The sequence below is a fragment of the Homo sapiens genome, chromosome 1 (genome assembly GCF_000001405.40).
Source record: "Homo sapiens chromosome 1, GRCh38.p14 Primary Assembly".
NCBI lineage: Eukaryota > Metazoa > Chordata > Mammalia > Primates > Hominidae > Homo > Homo sapiens.
In genome coordinates, this window is record NC_000001.11 from 75,465,208 (window position 1) to 75,487,253 (window position 22,046).

At 38.2% G+C, this 22,046-nt stretch overlaps 1 protein-coding gene across 11 annotated transcripts in view, besides 1 other annotated feature; it reads right to left on the reverse strand.

The window, feature by feature from the left end:
* Positions 1-22,046, reverse strand: part of SLC44A5 (solute carrier family 44 member 5) — a 521,887-nt gene that overhangs the window by 263,079 nt on the left and 236,762 nt on the right. The window lies entirely within an intron of this gene.
* Positions 11,403-11,903: an enhancer, noted in NCBI's record as "H3K4me1 hESC enhancer chr1:75942295-75942795 (GRCh37/hg19 assembly coordinates)". NCBI's record gives its function as "activates a minimal SCP1, AML or CMV promoter by ChIP-STARR-seq in primed H9 embryonic stem cells {active_cell/tissue: H9 hESC(primed)}" and the evidence as "EXISTENCE:reporter gene assay evidence [ECO:0000049][PMID:30033119]".

The following is a 22,046-nucleotide window of genomic DNA, read 5'->3' on the forward strand; positions in this document are numbered from 1 at the left end:
AAAACTAGAAATCAACAACAAGAAGAATCTTGGAAACTATACAAATGCATGGAAATTAAACAATATGCTCCTGGATATGGGTCAATGAAGACATTAAGAAGGAAATTGGGCCAATGAAGAAATTAAGAACACTGAAAATTTCTTGAAACGAATGATAATGGAAACAACATGCCAAAACCTATGGGATATAGCAAAAGCAGTACTCATACATACCTACCCAAAAAAAGAAGAAAAACTTCAAACAACCTAACAATGCATCTTAAAGAACTAGAAAGGCAAGAGCAAACCAAAACCAAAATTAGTAGACGAAAAGAAATAATAAAAATCAGAGCAGAAATAAAGGAAATTGAGATGAAGAAAACAATACAAAAGATCAATAAAACAAAAAGTTGGTTTTAAAAAACATAAACAAAATAGACAAACCTTTATCCAGACTAAGAAAAAAAGAGAGAAGACCCAAATAAATAAAATCAGAAATGAAAAAGGAGATATTACAACTGATACTGAAGAAATTCAAAAGATCCTTAGTGGCTACTATGAGCAACTATATGCCAATAAATTAAAAAATCTAGAAGAAATGGACAAACTCCTAGACACATGCAAACTACCAAGATTGAACCAGGAAAAAATCCAAAACCTGAATAGACCAATAACAAGTAACAAGATTGAAGCTGTTATAAAGTCTTCCAGTAAAGAAAAGACCAGCACCCAATGGCTTCACTGCTGAATTCTACAAACATTCAAAGAAAAGCTAATATCGATTTTCCTCAAACTATTCCAAAATTAGAGGATGAGAGCATACTTCCAAACTCATTCTACGAGGCCAGTATTACTCTTATATCCAAATCAGAAAAAGAGACATCAAAAAAAGGAAACTACATGCCAATATCTCTGATGAATATTGACACAAATATCTTCAACAAAATACTAGCAAACCAAATTCAACAATACATTTAAAAGGCCATTTGTCATGACCAAATGGGATTTATCCCTGAGATGCAAGGATGGTTCAACATACGTAAGCCAATCCATGTGATATATCATATTAACAGAATGAAGGACAAAACCCATATGATCATTTCAATTGATGCTGAAAAAGCATTTGATAAATTTCAACATCCTTCATGATAAAAATCCTCAAACAACTAGAAATAGAAAGAACACACTGGCCGGGTGTGGTGGCTCATGCCTGTAATCCCAGCACTTTGGCAGGCCGAGGTGGGCGGATCACGAGGTCAGGAGTTTGAGACCAGCCTGGCCAACATAGTGAAACCCTGTCTCTACTAAAAATACAAAAAGTTAGCTGGGCGTGGTGGCAGGTGCCTGTAATCCCAGCTACTTGGGGGGCCAAAGCAGGAGAATTGCTTGAACCTGGAAGGTGGAGGTGGCAGTGAGCCGAGATTGTGCCACTGCACTCCAGCCTGGGTGACAGTTCAAGATGCCATCTTAAAAAAAAAAAAAAAAAAAAAAAGAAGGAACATACCTCAATAGAATAAAAGCCATATATAACAGATTCATAGCTATTATCATACTGAATGGGGAAAAACTGAAAGCCTTTCCTCTAAGATCTGGAACATGCCAAGGATACCCACTTTCACCACTGTTATTCAACATAGTACTGAAATTCCTAGTTAGAGCAATGAGACAAAGAAATAAAGAGCATCCAAATTGGAAAGGAAGAAGTCAAATTGTCCTATTTGCAGATGATATGATTTTGTATTTGGAAAAACCTACACTGCACAAAAAACTATTAGAATTGATCAACAAATTCAGTAAAGTTGCAAGATACAAAATCAACGTACGAAAATCGGTAACATTTCTATATGCCAATAATAAACAATCTGAAAAAAGAAATTTAAAAAGTAATCCCATGTACAATAGCCACAAATTAAACTAAATACCTAGGAATGAACTAAAGAACTGAAAGACCTCTATAATGAAAACTATGAAACACTGATGAAAGAAATTTAAGAGGACACCAAGAAATAGATAAATATTCCAGGTTCATATACTGAAAGAATCAATGTTGTTAAAATGTCCATACTACCCAAAGCAAGCTACAGATTCAATTCAATCACTATCAAAATACCAATGATATTCTCCACAGAAATAGAAAAAACAATCCTAAAATTTATATGGAACCACAGAGGACCCAGAATAACCAAAGCTATCCCAAGCAAAAAGAACAAAATTGAAGAAATCAAATTACCTAATTGCAAATTATACTATGGAGCTATAGAAACCAAAAACAGCTTGATAGTGACATAGAAACAGACACATAGACCAATGGAACAGAATAGAGAACACAGAAATAAATCTACACACCTACAGTGAACTCATTTTCAATAAAGGTGCCAAGAACATACACTGAGGAAAAGACAGTCTCTTCGATAAATGATGCTGGGAAAACAGGTTATCTATATGCAGAAGAACGAAAGTAGATGCCTATCTCTCGCCATATACAAAAACTAAATCAAAATGGATTGAAGGTGTAAATCTAAGACTTCAATCTATGAAATTACTAAAAGAAAACTTCAGGGAAACTCTCCAGGACATTGTTCTGGGCAAGAATTTCTTGAGTAATACCCCACAAGTGCAGGCAATCAAAGCAAAAATGGACAAATGAGATAACATTAAGTTAAAAAGTTCTGCACAACAAAGAAACAATCAACAAAGTGAAGAGACAACTCACAAAATGGGAGAAAATATTTGCAAACAACCATACGACAAGAGATTCATAACCAGAATACATAAGGAACTCAACTCTATAGGAAAAAAATCTAATAATCCAATCAAAAGATGAACAAAAGATTTGAATAGACATTTCTCAAAAAAAAGGCATACAAAAGGCATATAACAAGGTTTTCAACACCATTGATTATCAGAGGAATGCAAGTCAAACTACAATAAGATATCATCTCATCCCGGTTAAAATGGCTTATGTCCAAAAGACAGGCAAAAACAAATGCTGGAAAGGAGAGGAGAAAAGGGAACTTTCATACACTGTTGGTGGGAATGTAAATCAGTGCAACTACTATGGAGAACAGTTTTGAGATTCCTCAAAAAATTAAAACTAGAGATACTATATGATCCAGGAATCCTACTGCTGGGTATACACCCAAAAGAAAAAAGATCAGTGTATCAAAGAGATATCTGCATTCCCATGTTTGTTGTAGCGCTCTTCACGATAGCCAAAATTTGGAAGCAACCTAAGTGTTCATCAACAAATGAGTAAATAAAGAAAACATCATATTATACACCATGTAGTACTATTCAGCCATAGAAAAGAACTAGAGCCTGTCATATGCAACAACATGGATGAAATTGGAGGTCATTATGCTAAGTGAAATAAGCCAGGCACAGAAAGACAAACATTCCATGTTCTCACTTATTTGTGGAAACTAAAAATCAAAATAATTGAACTCATGTTGATAGAGAGGAGAAGGATGGTTACCACAGGCTGGGAAAGGCAGCAATGGGGTTTGGGGGATGTGGGGATGGTTAATGGGTACAAAAAAAATAGAAAGAATGAATTAGACTTAGTATTTGACAGCACAACAGGGTGACTATAGTCAATGATAATTTAATTGTACATGTAAAAATAACAAGAAGAGCATAATTTGATTATTAGTGACCCAAGAGATAAATGTTTGAGGGGATGGATACACCCATTTTACATGATGTGATTATTATACATTGCATACCTGCATCAAAATATCTCATGTACCTCATAAATATATACACCTGCTATGTACCCACAAAAATTAAAATGAAAAATTAAAAATGTATATATATTGCATGCCAGGTATGCAAGTTTTAATTTTTTAGTAGCTGCATTAAAAAGGTAAAAAGAAACAGATGAAATTAATTTTAATAATGCCTTTTACTCAACCCAATATATTCAGATTATCATTTCAACATGTAATCAATATAAATTCATTTATTTGAGATAAAAATGAGATATTTTGAATCCTTTTTGTTTTAACCAAGTCTTTGAAGGCTGGTCTGTATTTTACATTTACAGCTCATCTCAATTCAGACTAGCCACATTTCAGGTGCTCAATAGCTTCATGTGAAAAGAGGCTACCATCTTGGACAGCACAGTTGAAGACTAACTGATTGATAAAAGAATGTTGAAAATACTTATGAAAGGTAAATGATGACATAATAAGCGTGAGCTGTAACACCATGTGCCACTTAAGAAGACAATAATACCATTTATATAATTTAGATGCAGATTTTACTAGCATTCCCAGAAAAAAAAAAGTGTAGTGAATTTCTTCTTCTTTCCTTTTGGCAATATCATTCTGAAACCAGTGTGTGTAGAACTTAGGGGAAAAAATCACTAAAATGGTACGGCGTATAATGGAATAAAAATATTATGCCATTGGGATAAGGTGTCCTGGCTTTGAGACAAAAAGTAGAGTCAGACTGAGCACAGTGGCTTATGCCTGTAATTCCAGCCTTCTGGGAGGTGAGGCAGAAGGATTGCTTGAGACCAACGGGAGACATAGCAAGACGCTGTCTGAACGATAAGTAAATATTATCTGGGCATGGTGGTGTATGCCTGTAGTCCTAGCTACTCAGGAAGCTGAGGTGGGAGGATCATTTAAGCCCAGGAATTCGAGGTTACAGTGAGCTATAATCACACCACTGCACTCCAGCCTGGGCGACAGAGAGAGACCTTGTGAAGAAAAAAAAAAAAAAAAAAAAAAAAGTAGAGTCAACGTATCCTGACTCCCATAATAAAAAATTGCAGTTCAAAGGGAGGAGGGCTTCACGGATGACTTGCATATTTCCTAAGCTCCTAAAACATTCTTTAGAGGCAAGTATTTATCACCAACCTTTCTATTTGACAGCATATTAAAGATATTCCTACAGTTTTGGTGTTTCTGTAAGAGCAACTAAGGAATAACCCTGGAAAGATAAGAGCTTTTCATAACAACCAAGCTTTCAAACCAATCAATCCTCAAGACAATACTTTTTAAAAAAATTGAATGAAGTCTACACGTGAAGCTAAAAGCTTTGGTTTTCAAGAACCCTAGGGCTATACTTTAAAACAGCAGTAAAAAACATACTCAAAGATGGAAGAGAATGAGCACTCAAGAGAAACCAAGTGAATGTACAGTTGTGCCCTACCTTATAAATGTTCCTCACGTACTGCCACAGCTAAAATTAGGTCCCCACGTTTGAAATAATCCTTCCACAAAAGGTAGTTTATGTTGTATGAGCTCTTCTGTAACATAACGGTAGAATTTATAGTCTAGTGAGGACTACTACAGCCAAGTAAATAGGCATCTAAATTATTATATAGTGTGAAGACTACCAAGATAGGGAAGGTATAATGGAAGCACGCAGGAGGGGCCATAACCCAGACGTGAGGGGGAGGGAATGTTACTGGCGTCAGCTTCCTGAAGAAAGTGAAGTCTAAGCTAAACCTACACCATGAGTAGGTGTTAGCCTAGTGAAAGGAATTTGAAGCAGAGGAAATGGAATGTCCAAGGCCAGAGAGAAGCGTGACCTGGCATGGCATGTCGAAAAACTGAGATAAGTATGGTGGGAGGGTTGGGAGGGGCTGTCCAGGTGGAGAGATGTGGGTAAGGAGTTAAATAAGAGTGCCATCCTGCCATCCCTTTTAAGCTACGAGTATGGACTTGTTCTCTAGAACAATGGATAGCTACCAGAGGCATCTGAGTAACTGTTTCTGCTTTGACTCCCTACCTTTGGTGGGTTTCTAACTCCTCAATTACATGAAAATTCTAAAACTAAAGCATTTTGCAAGTATTTTGGGGGTAAATGAAAAAGCTAACAAAACACAACTATCTTCAAATATAATGCAGAGAGGGAAAAATAGAGGGCTCAGACAAATTTATTCCCTGGACTTGGAAAGTTAGTATTTTCTCAGTGATTCGTTGAAGATCTATTTTTTAACCTTTTTTTTACGGCCTGGCTGTGTTTCTTTGGAGTTTCATAAAATTAATGGCTTGTAACATCTCATTACTGGGCAAGTCTAAGGGCACCTTTCTCATCATTGCTTGAATTTCTGCCTTGAAGGGAATCCCCAGGATGGGAATTTTCCTGCGAGATGGATTGCTGTTTCATTTGAAGCCTTCCTTTCAACAAGGAAAAATTTCAAATCCCTCTCCATCTAATACATAAGCTTGTGTGCATGAAAACACACACACACACACACACACACACGTACACACACACACACCCATGAATTAAATCAGAACCAGGACAAAAGAAAAGGAGGGAGGAATGACATAAGCAGCTTCCAAAGCACTGCCTCTACCTGATCATAGCCTTTTATCTCAATCATGGCAGGGGGAAAGCCCATGCCCTCAATCAAGCAAAAGATCTCAAGAGAATGCGGGCAGAGCTCATGTCTCTTCTCCAAATATGATTTTTTTTCTATTTTTCCTTTGCTAATGTGTTCAAAGTATTTCCTCTCTCTGGCATTCCACTGCCCTCTATTTCTTAATTTTCTTCTACTGACTCCAGACTGGCAGCTTTTTCTTAGCTCAGTCTCTAAACCCTTTGTGTAGTTTCTTATGGGCATTTACTCTTATTCTACCTATGCCTAGAGAAGATCAAATAAGCTAGTTTGTATCCTCTGTCCAAAACTTCTGCACATTCCTAAGGACCATGAACAAGGAACCACTAAGGCTTTTTTTTCTCTGATCTATATTTATAATGCCACTTCCTGGTTATTTTTATTTTCCAGACCCATAATCTGTTTTGTGGCAAGCCATGGAAGGAACTCTCAGGTTTCTCATGTCTCTCTAAGCAGGATTTGGCAATACTAGATATTGTATTTTAGTAGGATTTTGGCTAGTGTTCAGGACAATAGGCAGAGCATATCCCCCTGGGTTTAAAAAAAAAAAAAAAACTACTGGGGCCTGGGTGTTTATTCTTCTTCTCTCAAGCCACTGGGAATAGAGCTTTCAAACAAGACCAAAGAAAAATATGAGAATAAAAAGGCTTCATGGAAAAAATAAGGTATCTTTAGGGTGAGTCATGCAGGGGAAAGTGTGCCGAGCACCTGTCAGTAGTACCTTTCTGATTCAGTCATGAGTATCAACTTAATTCTTTCTTTTGAGAAGAAAGCCAAGGTATTTTGAAATGCATAGCTGTTTAGATGTGGTACCCATTCTGCAAAGTTAATAACATCTTTGAGGGTTCATTAATCTCAACAAGCCTGAAAAAAAATAAATTTTCATGTTCTTGCTCTCCTACTATCATTCTTACAGTTCTTTTACATAAATAATTGGTTATGGTTCAAATTAAAATAACTTTGACAATTATTAAGCAAGCTAGGAGTGTTTTGAGCTTGCGCTGTGAAGTGAGATATCAGCGCCCCAGGGTGCCTCAAGACCATGTGTTATCTTATGATAACATTCAACTCACTTTTTTCTAGGCTTATAAAATACAAGTTTTTCATTTAGCAGCTGAAATGACTGTGCTCTCTTTAGATAATATTCCCTCACTGAAAGGTTAGTCTCAATAGAATTTTTATGATTAAAGCACAAATGTGGTATTTATGAGGACTAGGATTTGTGTTTCTGGCAACCCGAGTGTCCTCAAAAGCATTGCAGCCCTGTCCTCATTTCACAAGTCCTATAATGTTTTGCAGACCACCGTGTCCTCTATACTTAAATCCTTCTCATAGACTAACAAGTGGCAAGCCTTCACTCTTACACATATTATAATCTTTGTGGGATGCACTAAAGACTTCTGTGTGATGAATTGTCATCTCCCTCAACCTCAAAGGTAACTGGCTATAAAACTGTTTTATGTTGCTAGTATTCCTAGTCCTCGTGTAAAAATACTAGCTGTAATTCAGTGTTGGCAATGTGGTATTATTCATAAAGCATTCAGACTGTACAGTTTTAGAATGTCATCGGAACTTCCTGATTGAATTACAATCTAGCATTCAGCTAAGTGTCCTTTTTTATGCATGAAAATTACTCACAAGCATTTCCCAACATCTCCAGGGCCTACATGGGAGTTCCAGAGGGAGCAACACTTTGCATAATCCTTCAAAAATATCTTCAGGGACATTCAAGAACCAAGAATTGGATAAAGCTTTTAAAATCAATGCTGGTTATAAAAGAAAAAAAACATAGCTTACAAGATGAAAATGTGTTGATGATTTTCCAAAGAGGAAGAGGAAGCCTCTGAAAATATGACTCAACTTCACTTGCTGGTTTCCAAAGCAAATTCTAAGTTGATGACATGGATTTAGCCCAACTGTGTCAGACAATTTTTGGTGAGGTAGGCGATGGGGTTTTGTTTGTTTCTTGCAGAATTTGGGGGTACTTGATTTGCGCTGTTCTTTGCTAAAAACACTTATCTGCCCCACTCAAAATCCATTCACACATAGATGTTTTCTTATTCACATTTCTATGTTTAATTTCAAGAGATAATACTTTTACAGATGACTTTCCCTATTGTATCAGCTTCTCTAATTCTAGCACTATAATCAGCATCTTATTTTACAAGTGCTTTTTCTTGACTCTAGCCTTATTTTTTATGTTCTTTCCATAATTTTATAAATTCCCTTTCTTTATAAATAAGAAAATAATTTTTTCCTCTGTTGTGGCCTTTTCCAACTTTGTCCAATAGCAAATTTGTCCAGCCTAGCTGGTGGCAGTATATTTAGTACTAAGTAATATAATGAATCTTCTAAATATGAGCTCTGTGGCTCTGTAGTGTGGTGGTGTCATAGAATATCAGAGATATTTTAGTCCTGATTCAATACCTGCACATACATGACATATAGACATAACATTGTTTTATGCCTGTAGACTTGCTTTGTTTCTTCAAAAATATATGTTAATAAAAATGTGAGCAGATTTGCTGCTTCATTGAATATTTAACACTGCTTCATTAAATTAGTTCACTGTCAATAACAGATTTCATTCTAAGATTCAAGGCAGGAGATGGGGAATGGCAACAATCTGAAAAATAAAAAAAGAAGGAACTTCTAAGAATATTTAGATTTCTTTGTCATACAGTCTGCACCTTCTGTCAATTCCTAGGCACTTACTGTCGATAGTAAATTTGTCCAGTCTAAACTTACTAGATTCATTCTGTTTTATTATTAAATAAAGTCATTTAACACTGCATACTAAAGCTAAATTAAACATGTTCCCAGGATAATTATCTCTATATATACTTACATTCATTCACGAGAACACTACTTTCAATCTTATAATACTAATGCTTTCAAATTCACACCTCAATGCCAATATTCTCCTCTGACTTTAACATTTTCTGGATTGATAATCAATATAGTGGAGTTATTGTCATTCATAAAATTAAGATATAGGTCATTAGCTAATCTTGATAGTAAGACATTTACGTGTAATGTTACACAAGGATGTTTTGTTTTGTTATTGCCAATTAGTAGTCCAAGTTAATTGGAAGTTTTCTTTGTGGGGCATAGAATTATGTGGCTCAAACACATTTTCAAAATGACAATACAAGACAGAGTCATAATTAGTAAAATTTTATACCCCAAATTTCTCTTATTTCAATACATATTTAATTATGATGTGAGTGGGCTTCCTTTAAAAACAATCCAGAAAATTCTACTTAGGCTAACTTTATAATAAACAATATAACTGCTCTTTTCATATAATTTGTTTCAAAAAGCATATGTTAGTAACTGGAATTTTCAAGTAATTCTGAATTCTTCCAAAGCACAGGTCTACTAAAATGGCCCTACTAAGACCTCTGGTAAGAGAGCAGCAACAATTCAACTGCCTGAATGAAATGCCAAATGGCATAAAGTAAAATCGTTGTGTGTCGCCCCTGAGTTATTCACACATCAGCAGGAAGTGAAATGAGGAGCCTGAATTCCATGTCCTTTACCACTTGCCCTCTGTGGCATTTATGAAAGAACCCCTCATAAGGAAAAATAACATCAATAATGATGATCTTACGCCTCATCTCTTAAATATTCACAGCTCAGCAAAAGCCTAATAAGAAGAGTGGCCTTTATGTCCTCTTTCTAGATGTCCTTCCAATATCATTTGAGGAAACCTTGTAAAAGACAAATAACAATCATGATAGAAAATTTATTTCGAAAGAAGGAAAGGAATGATGAGGAAGGTATTTGATAGAAATTTCAGTAGATGAGCTTTGATATTACCTCTTGTTTTGCTACTCCTCTTGGGAAGAACCAACCCTCAATTAGCGATTGAGTTTAAACTCCTCTGAACAAGTATTATTTCTCTGATTACTCAGAAAGATCTATTTTCTTCCGATATTTTATTATTACTTGTCCAGCCAGAATTCCAAACCAACATTCCTTCTAAAATATCTCCTTGCTCCTCTTTTCATTCTGCCAGTTTCACCAGCTTACTTTCATTCCCATTTCCCACTATTTTAACTGCCACTCTAATATATATGTCTCACTTATAACCCTCAGCCATCTCCAAACCTTTCAGAGAATACCCATAATGGAAACATTACAGGATTAGGAATTAGGGCTCAGAATATCTCAGCTCTAATCAGAGAAGCAATATAGTATATGTGTTTAAGAGTGAGGGCTAAAGAGATTAAATAAATAGATCCTACTCCCAGCTTTACCACTTACTAATTATGTGATGGTGGTGAACTTATTTAACCTCCCTGGGCCAATTTCTTCATCTGTAAAATGGAGATAAAAACAACATATATCTCAGTGGCTGGGTGTGGTGGTTCATGCCTGTAATCCCAGCACTTCGGGAAGCCGAGGTGGGCGGATCATGAGGTCAGGAGTTAAAGACCAGCCTGACCAATATGGTGAAGCTCTGTCTCTACTAAAAATACAAAAATTAGCTGGGAATGGTGGTGCGCACCTGTAATCCCAACTACTCAGGAGGCTGAGGCATGAGAATCGCTTGAACCCGGGAGGCAGAGGTTGCAGTGAGCTGAGATCAGGCCACTGCACTCCAGCCTGGGAGACAGAAAGAGATTCTGTATCAAAAAAAAAAGTATATATATATATATAGAAAGTTATCAAGATTAACAAGGTAGAGCATTTAGAATTCTACCTACTAACTGGGGAGCAGCCAAGATGGTAGCATAGGAACAGCTCTGGTCTACAGCTCCCAGCGTGAGTGACGCAGAAGATGGGTGATTTCTGCATTTCTATCTGAGGTACCGGGTTCATCTCACTAGGGAGTGCCAGACAGTGGGCGCAGGACAGTGGGTGCAGCGCACCGTGCACGAGCCGAAGCAGGGCGAGGCATTGCCTCACTCGGGAAGTGCAAGGGGTCAGGGAGTTCTCTTTCCTAGTCAAAGAAAGGGGTGACAGACGGCACCTGGAAAATCAGGTCACTCCCACCTGAATACTGCGCTTTTCCGACAGGCTTAAAAAACAGTGCACCAGGAGATTATATCCCACACCTGGCTCGGAGGGTCCTACGCCCACGGAGTCTCGCTGATTGCTAGCACAGCAGTCTGAGATCAAACTGCAAGGCGGCAGCAAGGCTGCGGGAGGGGCGCCCGCCATTACCCAGGCTTGCTTAGGTAGACAAAGCAGCAGGGAAGCTCGAACTGGGTGGAGCCCACCACAGCTCAAGGAGGCCTGCCTGCCTCTGTAGGCTCCACCTCTGGGGGCAGGGCACAGACAAACAAAAAGACAGCAGTAACCTCTGCAGACTTAAATGTTCCTGTCTGACAGCTTTGAAGAGAGCAGTGCTTCTCCCAGCACACAGCTGGAGATCTGAGAATGGGCAGACTGTCTCCTCAAGTGGGTCCCTGACCCCTGACCCCTGAGCAGCCTAACTGGGAGGCACCCCCCAGCAGGGGCAGACTGACACCTCACAGGACCCGGTACTCCTCTGAGACAAAACTTCCAGAGAAACGATCAGACAGCAGCGTTCGCGGTTCATGAAAATCTGCTGTTCTGCAGCCACCGCTGCTGGTACCCAGGCAAACAGGGTCTGGAGTGGACCCCTAGCAAACTCCAACAGGCCTGCAGCTGAGGGTCCTGTCTGTTAGAAGGAAAACTAACAAACAGAAAGGACATCCACGCCAAAAACCCATCTGTACATTACCATCATCAAAGACTAAAAGTAGATAAAACCACAAAGACGGGGGAAAAAACAGAGCAGAAAAACTGGAAACTCTAAGAAGCAGAGCGCCTCTCCTCCTCCAAAGGAACGCAGTTCCTCACCAGCAACGGAACAAAGCTGTACGGAGAATGACTTTGACGAGTTGAGAGAAGGCTTCAGATGATCAAACTACTCCGAGTTACAGGAGTAAATTCAAACCAAAGGCAAAGAAGTTAAAACCTTTGAAAAAAATTTAGATGAATGCATAACTAGAATAACCAATACAGAGAAGTGCTTAAAGGAGCTGATGGAGCTGAAAACCAAGGCTCGAGAACTACGTGAAGAATGCAGAAGCCTCAGGAGCCGATGTGATCAACTGGAAGAAAGGGTATCAGTGATGGAAGATGAAAAGAATGAAATGAAACGAGAAGGGAAGTTTAGAGAAAAGAGAATAAAAAGAAACGAACAAAGCCTCCAAGAAATATGGGACTATGTGAAAAGACCAAATCTACGTCTGACTGGTGTACCTGAAAGTGACGGGGAGAATGGAACCAAGTTGGAAAACACTCTGCAGGATATTATCCAGGAGAACTTCCCCAATCTAGCAAGGCAGGCCAACATTCAGATTCAGGAAATACAGAGAACGCCACAAAGATACTCCTCGAGAACAGCAACTCCAAGACACATAATTGTCAGATTCACCAAAGTTGAAATGAAGGAAAAAATGTTAAGGGCAGCCAGAGAGAAAGGTCGGGTTACCCACAAAGGGAAGCCCATCAGACTAACAGCGGATCTCCCGGCAGAAACTCTACAAGCCAGAAGAGAGTATGGGCCAATATTCAACATTCTTAAAGAAAAGAATTGTCAACCCAGAATTTCATATCCAGCCAAACTAAGCTTCATAAGTGAAGGAGAAATAAAATCCTTTACAGACAAGCAAATGCTGAGAGATTTTGTCACCACCAGGCCTGCCCTAAAAGAGCTCCTGAAGGAAGCACTAAACATGGAAAGGAACAACCAGTACCAGCCACTGCAAAATCATGCCAAATTGTAAAGACCATCGAGGCTAGGAAGAAACTGCATGAACTAACGAGCAAAATAACCAGCTAACATCATAATGACAGGATCAAATTCACAATAACAATATTAACTTTAAATGTAAATGGACTAAATGCTCCAATGGAAAGACACAGACTGGCAAATTGGATAAAGAGTCAAGACCCATCAGTGTGCTGTATTCAGGAAACCCATCTCACATGCAGAGACACACATAGGCTCAAAATAAAAGGATGGAGGAAGATCTACCAAGCAAATGGAAAACAAAAAAAGGCAGGGGTTGCAATCCTAGTCTCTGATAAAACAGACTTCAAACCAACAAAGATCAAAAGAGACAAAGAAGGCCATTACATAATGGTAAAGGGATCAATTCAACAAGAAGAGCTAACTATCCTAAATATATATGCACCCAATACAGGAGCCCCCAGATTCATAAAGCAAGTCCTAAGTGACCTACAAAGAGATTTAGACTCCCACACAATAATAATGGAGACTTTAACACCCCACTGTCAACATTAGACAGATCAATGAGACAGAAAGTTAACAAGGATACCCAGGAATTGAACTCAGCTCTGCACCAAGAGGACCTAATAGACATCTACAGAACTCTCCACCCCAAATCAACAGAATATACATTTGTTTCAGCACCACACCACACCTATTCCAAAATTGACCGCATACTTGGAAGTAAAGCTGTCCTCAGCAAATGTAAAAGAACAGAAATTATAAGAAACTATCTCTCAGACCACAGTGCAATCAAACTAGAACTCAGGATTAAGAATCTCACTCAAAACCGCTCAACTACATGGAAACTGAACAACCTGCTCCTGAATGACTACTGGGTACATAACGAAATGAAGGCAGAAATAAAGATGTTCTTTGAAACCAATGAGAACAAAGACACAACATACCAGAATGTCTGGGACATATTCAAAGCAGTGTGTAGCGGGAAACTTATAGCACTAAATGCCCACAAGAGAAAGCAGGAAAGATCTAAAACTGACACCCTAACATCACAATTAAAAGAACTAGAAAAGCAAGAGCAAACACATTCAAAAACTAGCAGAAGGCAAGAAATAACTAAAATCAGAGCAGAACTGAAGGAAATAGAGACACAAAAAACCCTTCAAAAATTAATGAATCCAGGAGCTGGTTTTTTGAAAGGATCAACAAAATTGATAGACCGCTAGCAAGACTAATGAAGAAGAAAAGAGAGAAGAATCAAATAGATGCAATAAAAAATGATAAAGGGGATATCACCACTGATCCCACAGAAATACAAACTACCATCAGAGAATACTACAAACACCTCTACGCAAATGAACTAGAAAATCTAGAAGAAATGGATAAATTCCTTGACACATACACCCTCCCAAGACTAAACCAGGAAGAAGTTGAATCTCTGAATAGACCAATAACAGGCTCTGAAATTGTGGCAATAATCAATAGCTTACCAACCAAAAAGAGTCCAGGACCAGATGGATTCACAGCCGAATTCTACCAGAGGTACAAGGAGGAACTGGTATCATTCCTTCTGAAACTATTCCAATCAATAGAAAAAGAGGGAATCCTCCCTAACTCATTTGAGGAGGCCAGCATCATCCTGATACCAAAGCCGGGCAGAGACACAACCAAAAAAAGAGAATTTTAGACCAATATCCTTGATGAACATTGATGCAAAAATCCTCAATAAAATACTGGCAAACCGAATCTGGCAGCACATCAAAAAGCTTATCCACCATGATCAAGTGGGCTTCATCCCTGGGATGCAAGGCTGGTTCAATATATGCAAATCAATAAATGTAATCCAGCATATAAACAGAACCAATGACAAAAACCACATGATTATCTCAATAGATGCAGAAAAGGCCTTTGACAAAATTCAACAATACTTCATGCTAAAAACTCTCAGTAAATTAGGTATTGATGGGACATATCTCAAAATAATAAGAGCTATCTATGACAAACCCACAGCCAATATCATACTGAATGGGAAAAAACTGGAAGCATTCCCTTTGAAAACTGGCACAAGACAGGGATGCTCTTTCTCACCACCCCTATTTAACATAGTGTTGGAAGTTCTGGCCAGGGCAATTAGGCAGGAGAAGGAAATAAAGGGTATTCGATTAGGAAAAGAGGAAGTCAAATTGTCCCTGTTTGCAGATGACATGATTGCATATCTAGAAAACCCCATTGTCTCAGCCCAAAATCTTCTTAAGCTGATAAGCAACTTCAGCAAAATCTCAGGATACAAAATCAATGTGCAAAAATCACAAGCATTCTTATACACCAATAACAGACAAACGGAGAGCCAAATCATGAGTGAACTCCCATTCGCAATTGCTTCAAAGAGAATAAAATACCTAGGAATCCACCTTACAAGGGATGTGAAGGACCTCTTCAAGGAGAACTACAAACCACTGCTCAATGAAATAAAAGAGGATACAAACAAATGGAAGAACATTCCATGCTCATTGGTAGAAAGAATCAACATTGTGAAAATGGTCATACTGCCCAAGGTAATATATAGATTCAATGCCATCCCCATCAAGCTACCAATGACTTTCTTCACAGAATTGGAAAAAACTACTTTAAAGTTCATATGGAACCAAAAAAGAGCCCTCATCGTCAAGTCAATCCTAAGCGAAAAGAACAAAGCTGGAGGCATCACACTACCTGACTTCAAACTATACTACAAGGCTACAGTAACCAAAACAGCATGGTACTGGTACCAAAACAGAGATATAGATCAATGGAACAGAACAGAGCCCTCAGAAGTAACGCCACATATCTACAACTATCTGATCTTTGGCAAACCTGAGAAAAACAAGCAATGGGGAAAGGATTCCCTGTTTAATAAATGTTGCTGGGAAAACTGGCTAGCCATATGTAGAAAGCTGAAACTGGATCCCTTCCTTATGCCTTATACAAAAATTAATTCAAGATGGATTAAAGACTTAAATGTTAGACCTAAAACCATAAAACCCCTAGAAGAAAACCTAGGCATTACCATTCAGGACATAGGCATGGGCAAGGACTTCATATCTAAAACACCAAAAGCAATGGCAACAAAAGCCAAAATTGACAAATGGGATCTAGTTAAACTCAAGAGCTTCTGCACAGCAAAAGAAACTACCATCAGACTGAACAGGCAACCTACAAAATGGGAGAAAATTTTCACAACCTACTCATCTGACAAAGGGCTAATATCCAGAATCTACAATGAGCTCAAACAAATTTACAAGAAAAAAACAAACGACCCCATCAAAAGGTGGGCGAAGGACATGAACAGACACTTCTCAAAAGAAGACATTTATGCAGCCAACAGACACATGAAAAAATGCTCACCATCACTGGCCATCAGAGAAATGCAAATCAAAACCACAGTGAGATACCATCTCACATCAGTTACAATGGCAACCATGAAAAAGTCAGGAAACAACAGGTGCTGGAGAAGATGTGGAGAAATAGGAACACTTTTACACTATTGGTGGGAGTGTAAACTAGTTCAACCATTGTGGAAGTTAGTGTGGCGATTCCTCAGGGATCTAGAACTTGAAATTTCTAGATTTTGACTAGAATTTGACCCAGCCATCCCATTACTGGGTATATACCCAAAGGACTATAAATCATGCTGCTGTAAAGACACATGCACACGTATGTTTATTGTGGCACTATTCACAATAGCAAAGACTTGGAACCAACCCAAATGTCCAACAATGATAGACTGGATTAAGAAAATGTGGCACATATACACCATGGAATACTATGCAGCCATAAAAAATGATGAGTTCATGTCCTTTCTAGGGACATGGATGAAATTGGAAATCATCATTCTCAGTAAACTATCACAAGGATAAAAAACCAAACACCACATGTTCTCACTCATAGGTGGGAACTGAACAATGAGAACACATGGACACAGGAAGGGGAACATCACACTCTAGGGACTGTTGTGGGGTGGGGGGACGGGGGAGGGATAGCATTAGGAGATATACCTAATGCTAAATGACGAGTTAATGGGTGTAGCACACCAGCATGGCACATGTGTACATATGCAACTAACCTGCACATTGTGCACATGTACCCTAAAACTTAAAGTATAATAATAATAAAATAAAAAATAAAAAAAAAGAATTCTACCTATTAACCAAAATACTGAATACACATTGGCTATTTGTATTAGTGTGTGTGTGAGTTTGTGCATGTGTATATGGCACACACTATATTAGCTGCAACAGTCTCTGATGTTTCAGTTTCCTTGTCTGAAAAATAGAAGTTTAGATTGGACCATCACTAAAATTCCTTCTTGCTCCGAAATATCAGGAACATGAGTCTAATACAAATCTTCTATTTTTTGAATTCTAAGACTTTAATAGCAATCTGTTATTTAACTTGTATAGCAGATGAAATGGAAGATCATAAAACAAATAAATAGCAAAGCCTCTGTCCTTAAGAGTCTTAAAATATTTTGTTTTAAAAAGTAAAGATAAGTTTCAATTTGTTCCCTCAGATATATATCATTTTCTTCCTGTATTACTTGATAAGGTTTTCAGGAAAATATAAAACACTAAGGAAATTTACTTATAGGATAAATGTTATGATAAACTATGAAATAAAATAAAGTCACATGATACGTTAAGTTTACCAACCAAATAAATTTGAAAATTGAATAAATAACATTTATGGTAAAAATACAATAAATTACACTTTTATTCACATTCAATTAATATTTACTGAGCTGCTTCTATTTGCTGAGCGTAACAATAAATTAGAAAAGGCTTTAGTGTAAACATTTAGAGAGGAAAGGAGACAGGAAATGGCTTGCCACCTCAGGACAAAGGGAAAACTGCGTTGGCCAAAACTGGCCTGAGGGAAACAGAAGTGCTACCTCAGATGGAGATTAATCAATCTGAAATTAAGAGAAAAAGATCCTTAGATGTGGTAAAGAGGTGAGCAAAGCTTTGTTTTAAAAATCCAGATATCATTTTTATTACTGGTGTTATTAAAATCAAAGTTCTAAACCTCAAAAAAAGCTTAAAAACATTTGGTTCCCTAAAGCCACAAATAGTCTCATAGAACATAGCATAATTTAGGTATTAAAAAGTCCTCATTATTTGAAACAAGATAAAACAGAGATGTGCTCTAGCTAGGATTTAGAAAATATGTTAAGGAAAATCCAAATGGGGGCAAAAATGAGACCCTCGAATAAAAGAGTTGCTGAAACATTTAGAGAAGTAGATTTCCCCTTCTTTTTAATGAAATAAGAAAATAAGAAATTATTCTTTATTTAAATATTTGTTTACAATTTGTTAATTTCAACTACATTTCAAAAAATGTTAATTATGTTACTTTAAAAAATAAATTTTAAACGAGGGTATTGGACTAGATGATCTCTAAGAAATTTTCTGTGTTAGTCCATTTTCATACTGCTATAAAGAGCTACCTAATACTGGGTAATTTATAAGGAAAAGAGGTTTAATTGAATCACAGTTCCATATGGCTGGGGAGGCATCAGGAAAATTACAATCATGGCAGAAGGCGAAGGGGAAGCAAGGCACATCTTACATGGTGGCAGGAGAGATAAAGGGAGAGTGAGGTGGGAAGTGCCACACTTCAAAACCATCAGCTCTCATGAGAACTCACTCACTATCATGAGAACAGCAAGGGAGAAATCCACCCCCATGATCCAATTATCTCCCACCAGGCCCCTCCTCCAACATGTGGGAATTACAATTCAAAATGAGATTTGGGAGGGGACACAGAGCCAAGCCATATCATTCTGTCCCTGGCCCCTCCAAAATCTCATGTCCTTTTCACATTTCAATATCAATCATGCCTTCCCAACAGTCCCCCAAAGTCTTAACTCATTCCAGCATTAACTCAAAAGTCCAAGTTCTGAGACAAGGCAAGTCCCTTCCACCTATAAGCCTGTAAAATCAAAAACAAGTTAGTTACTTCCAAGATGCAATGGGGGTACAGGCATTGGGTAAATGTTTCCATTCCAAATGGGAGAAATTGGCCAAAACAAAGAGGCCACAGGCCCCATGCCAATCTGAAACCCAGTGGGGCAGTCATTAAATCTTAAAGCTCTAAAATGATCTTCTTTGACTCCATGCCTCATATCCAGCACACACTGATGCAAGAGGTGGGTTCCTACAGCCTCAGACAGCTCCACTTCTGTGACTCTGCAGTGTACAGTCCCTGTGGCTGCTTTCACTAGCTGGCATTGAGTGCCTGTGGCTTTTCCAGGTGCACAGTGCAAGCCGTTGGTGTATCTACCATTCTAGGGTCTGGAGGATGGTGGCCCTCTTCTTACAGCTCCCCTAGGCAACATTGCCCTCTGCATTGCCCTCCCCTCTGCATTGCCCTAATGAAGGTTCTCCACAAGGGTTCCACCCCAGCAGCAGACTTCTGTCTGGACATCTAGGTGTTTCCATACATCCTTTGAAAGCTAGGTGGAGGCTCCCAAAGCTCAACTCTTGCCTTCTGCACAACTGTAAGCCCAACACCACGTGAAAGCTGCACAGGTTTGGGGCTTGCACCTTCTGAAGCAACAGCCCAAGCTGTTCCTTGGCCCCTTTTAGCCACAACTGGAGCTGGACCAGCCAGGACACAGGGCACCATGTCCAGAGGTTTCACAGAGCAGCAAGGCCATGGGCCTGGCCCACAAAACCACTTTTTCCTCCCAGGCCTCCAGGCCTGTGATAGGAGGCTATGCCATGTAGATCTCTGAAATGCCCTGGAGACATTTTCCCCATTGTCTTGGCTATTAGTATTTGGCTTTTCTTTACTTATGCAAATTCTAACAGCAAGCAGCTTAAATTTCTTCCCATAAAATGGGTTTTTCTTTTTTCTCATCACACAATCAAGCTGCACATTTTCCAAACTTTTACGCTCTACTTCCCTTTTAAACATAAGCTCTAATTTCAGACAATCTCTTTGTGAACACACATGATTGTATGCTTCAGAAAAAGCTGGAATGCTTTGCTGCTTAGAAATTTCTTCTGTCAGACACCCTAAGTCATCTCTTTGAATTCAAAGTTCCATGTCTAGGATCTCTAGGGCAGGGGCAAAATGCTGCTAATCTCTTTGCTAAAGCATAGGAAGAGTGACCTTTGCTCCAGTTCCTGGTAAGTTTCTCCTCTTCATCTGAGACTACCCCAGCCTGGGCTTCATTGTTCATATCACTATCAGCATTTTGGTCACAATCATTCAACTAGTCTCTAGGAAGTTCCAAACTTCCCCACATATTCCTTTCTTCTTCTGAGCCCTCCAAACTGTTCCAACCTCTGCCTGCTTCCCAGTTCCAAAGTCACTTCCACATTTTCAGGTATCTTTATAGCAGTGCCCCAAACTCCCAGTACCAATTTTTCCATATTAGTCCTTTTTCACACTGTGACAAAGAACTACCTGAGAGTGGGTAATTTATAAAGAAAATAGGTTTAATTGCCTCACAGTTCCACATGGCTGGGGAGGCCTCAGGAAACTTACAATCATGGCGGAAGGTGAAGGGGAAGCAAGGCACACTTTACATAGTGGCAGGAGAGATGGTCAGGGGCAGGAAGTACCACACTTTAAAACCATCAGTTCTCATGAGAACTCACTTACTATCGTAAGAACAGCAAGGGAGAAATCCACTCCATGATCCAATCATCTCCCACCAGGCCTCTCTTCCAACATGTGGAGATTACAATTCAACCTGAGATTTGGGTGGGAATGCAGAGCCAAACCATACCAGTTTCTATTTCTAAAGTTACATAAACTTATTTAGTAATAAAATAATAATATGAAAATACTAAAACAACAATATGACAACATTTTCAAATATGGTATTTCTCCTACAAAGGAAACTTTACAAGGCTCTATTCAAGACAGCAAATCAAATGCCTGTTGCTAAGAGAATCTGAGAATATTTGTCATTCTGTCCTTGATATAGACAAGAAAATTATTTCACACCTAAGTTAATGAAGTAAGTCTCCAAGATAACTTCTGTTTGAAAAAAATGCAGGATGGGCATATGTCTGTGTGTGTAGAGGGAGTGATATTGAATAATTAATTTTTGTTTTGTTCTGTTTTTAAATGAAAATAAATAGATCTTAAGCTGAATTGAACAGATATCAAATGTTTTACTCTTATTCTATTAATTTTCCAAAATTCAGAGAAAAGAAGCACAAACAAAAGAAATGATTTATCTTTAAAGAAGGTAACTATTGACTTAAAGTCAAAAGTTTTGATTGGTTTAGAGTCGATCAGCCTTTTTGAAAAGCAGAAACTTTTTAACTGTTAAAAAAACTTTATTTTGGGATAAATGTTTCCCTTCCAAATGGGAGAAATTGGCCAAAACAAAGAGGCCACAGGCCCCATGCCAGTCTGAAACCCAGTGGGGCAGTCATTAAATCTTAAAGCTCTAAAATGATCTTCTTTGACTCCATGCCTCACATCCAGCACACACCGATGCAAGAGGTGGGTTCCTACAATAGAAAAAAGCTTTCATTTTCTTTCTGTTCTGAATCCTACTGTTCTTGATATTGTATTATTTCAATAACATTCATAGAGAGGCCTTAATTACTTAGCTCTGTTATGCTTCCCAAATATATCATGGAAATTAGACAGTGGTTGAATTTAGGTCATGTGAAGGATTATTTTCTACATGGGTAGAAGATAGGAAATACTTTAATTGATATTTTATTGTAAATGTGCAGTGACTAATGTACAATAATAGGGATTCTGGAGACCTAGGATTAGGTTCTGGTCTTGACACCAGGATCATTCATTCAGTCATCAAATACTTAATAAATATCTATTAATAGTATCTATTATGTGTCCTTGCTCCTATGGAGTTTTCAGTCTCTGAGAGATAGGAATGAAGGGACAACAGACAATAAACAGATACATAATTATAAGTTGCAACAAGTAAAGAGAAGTAAATAACAATGC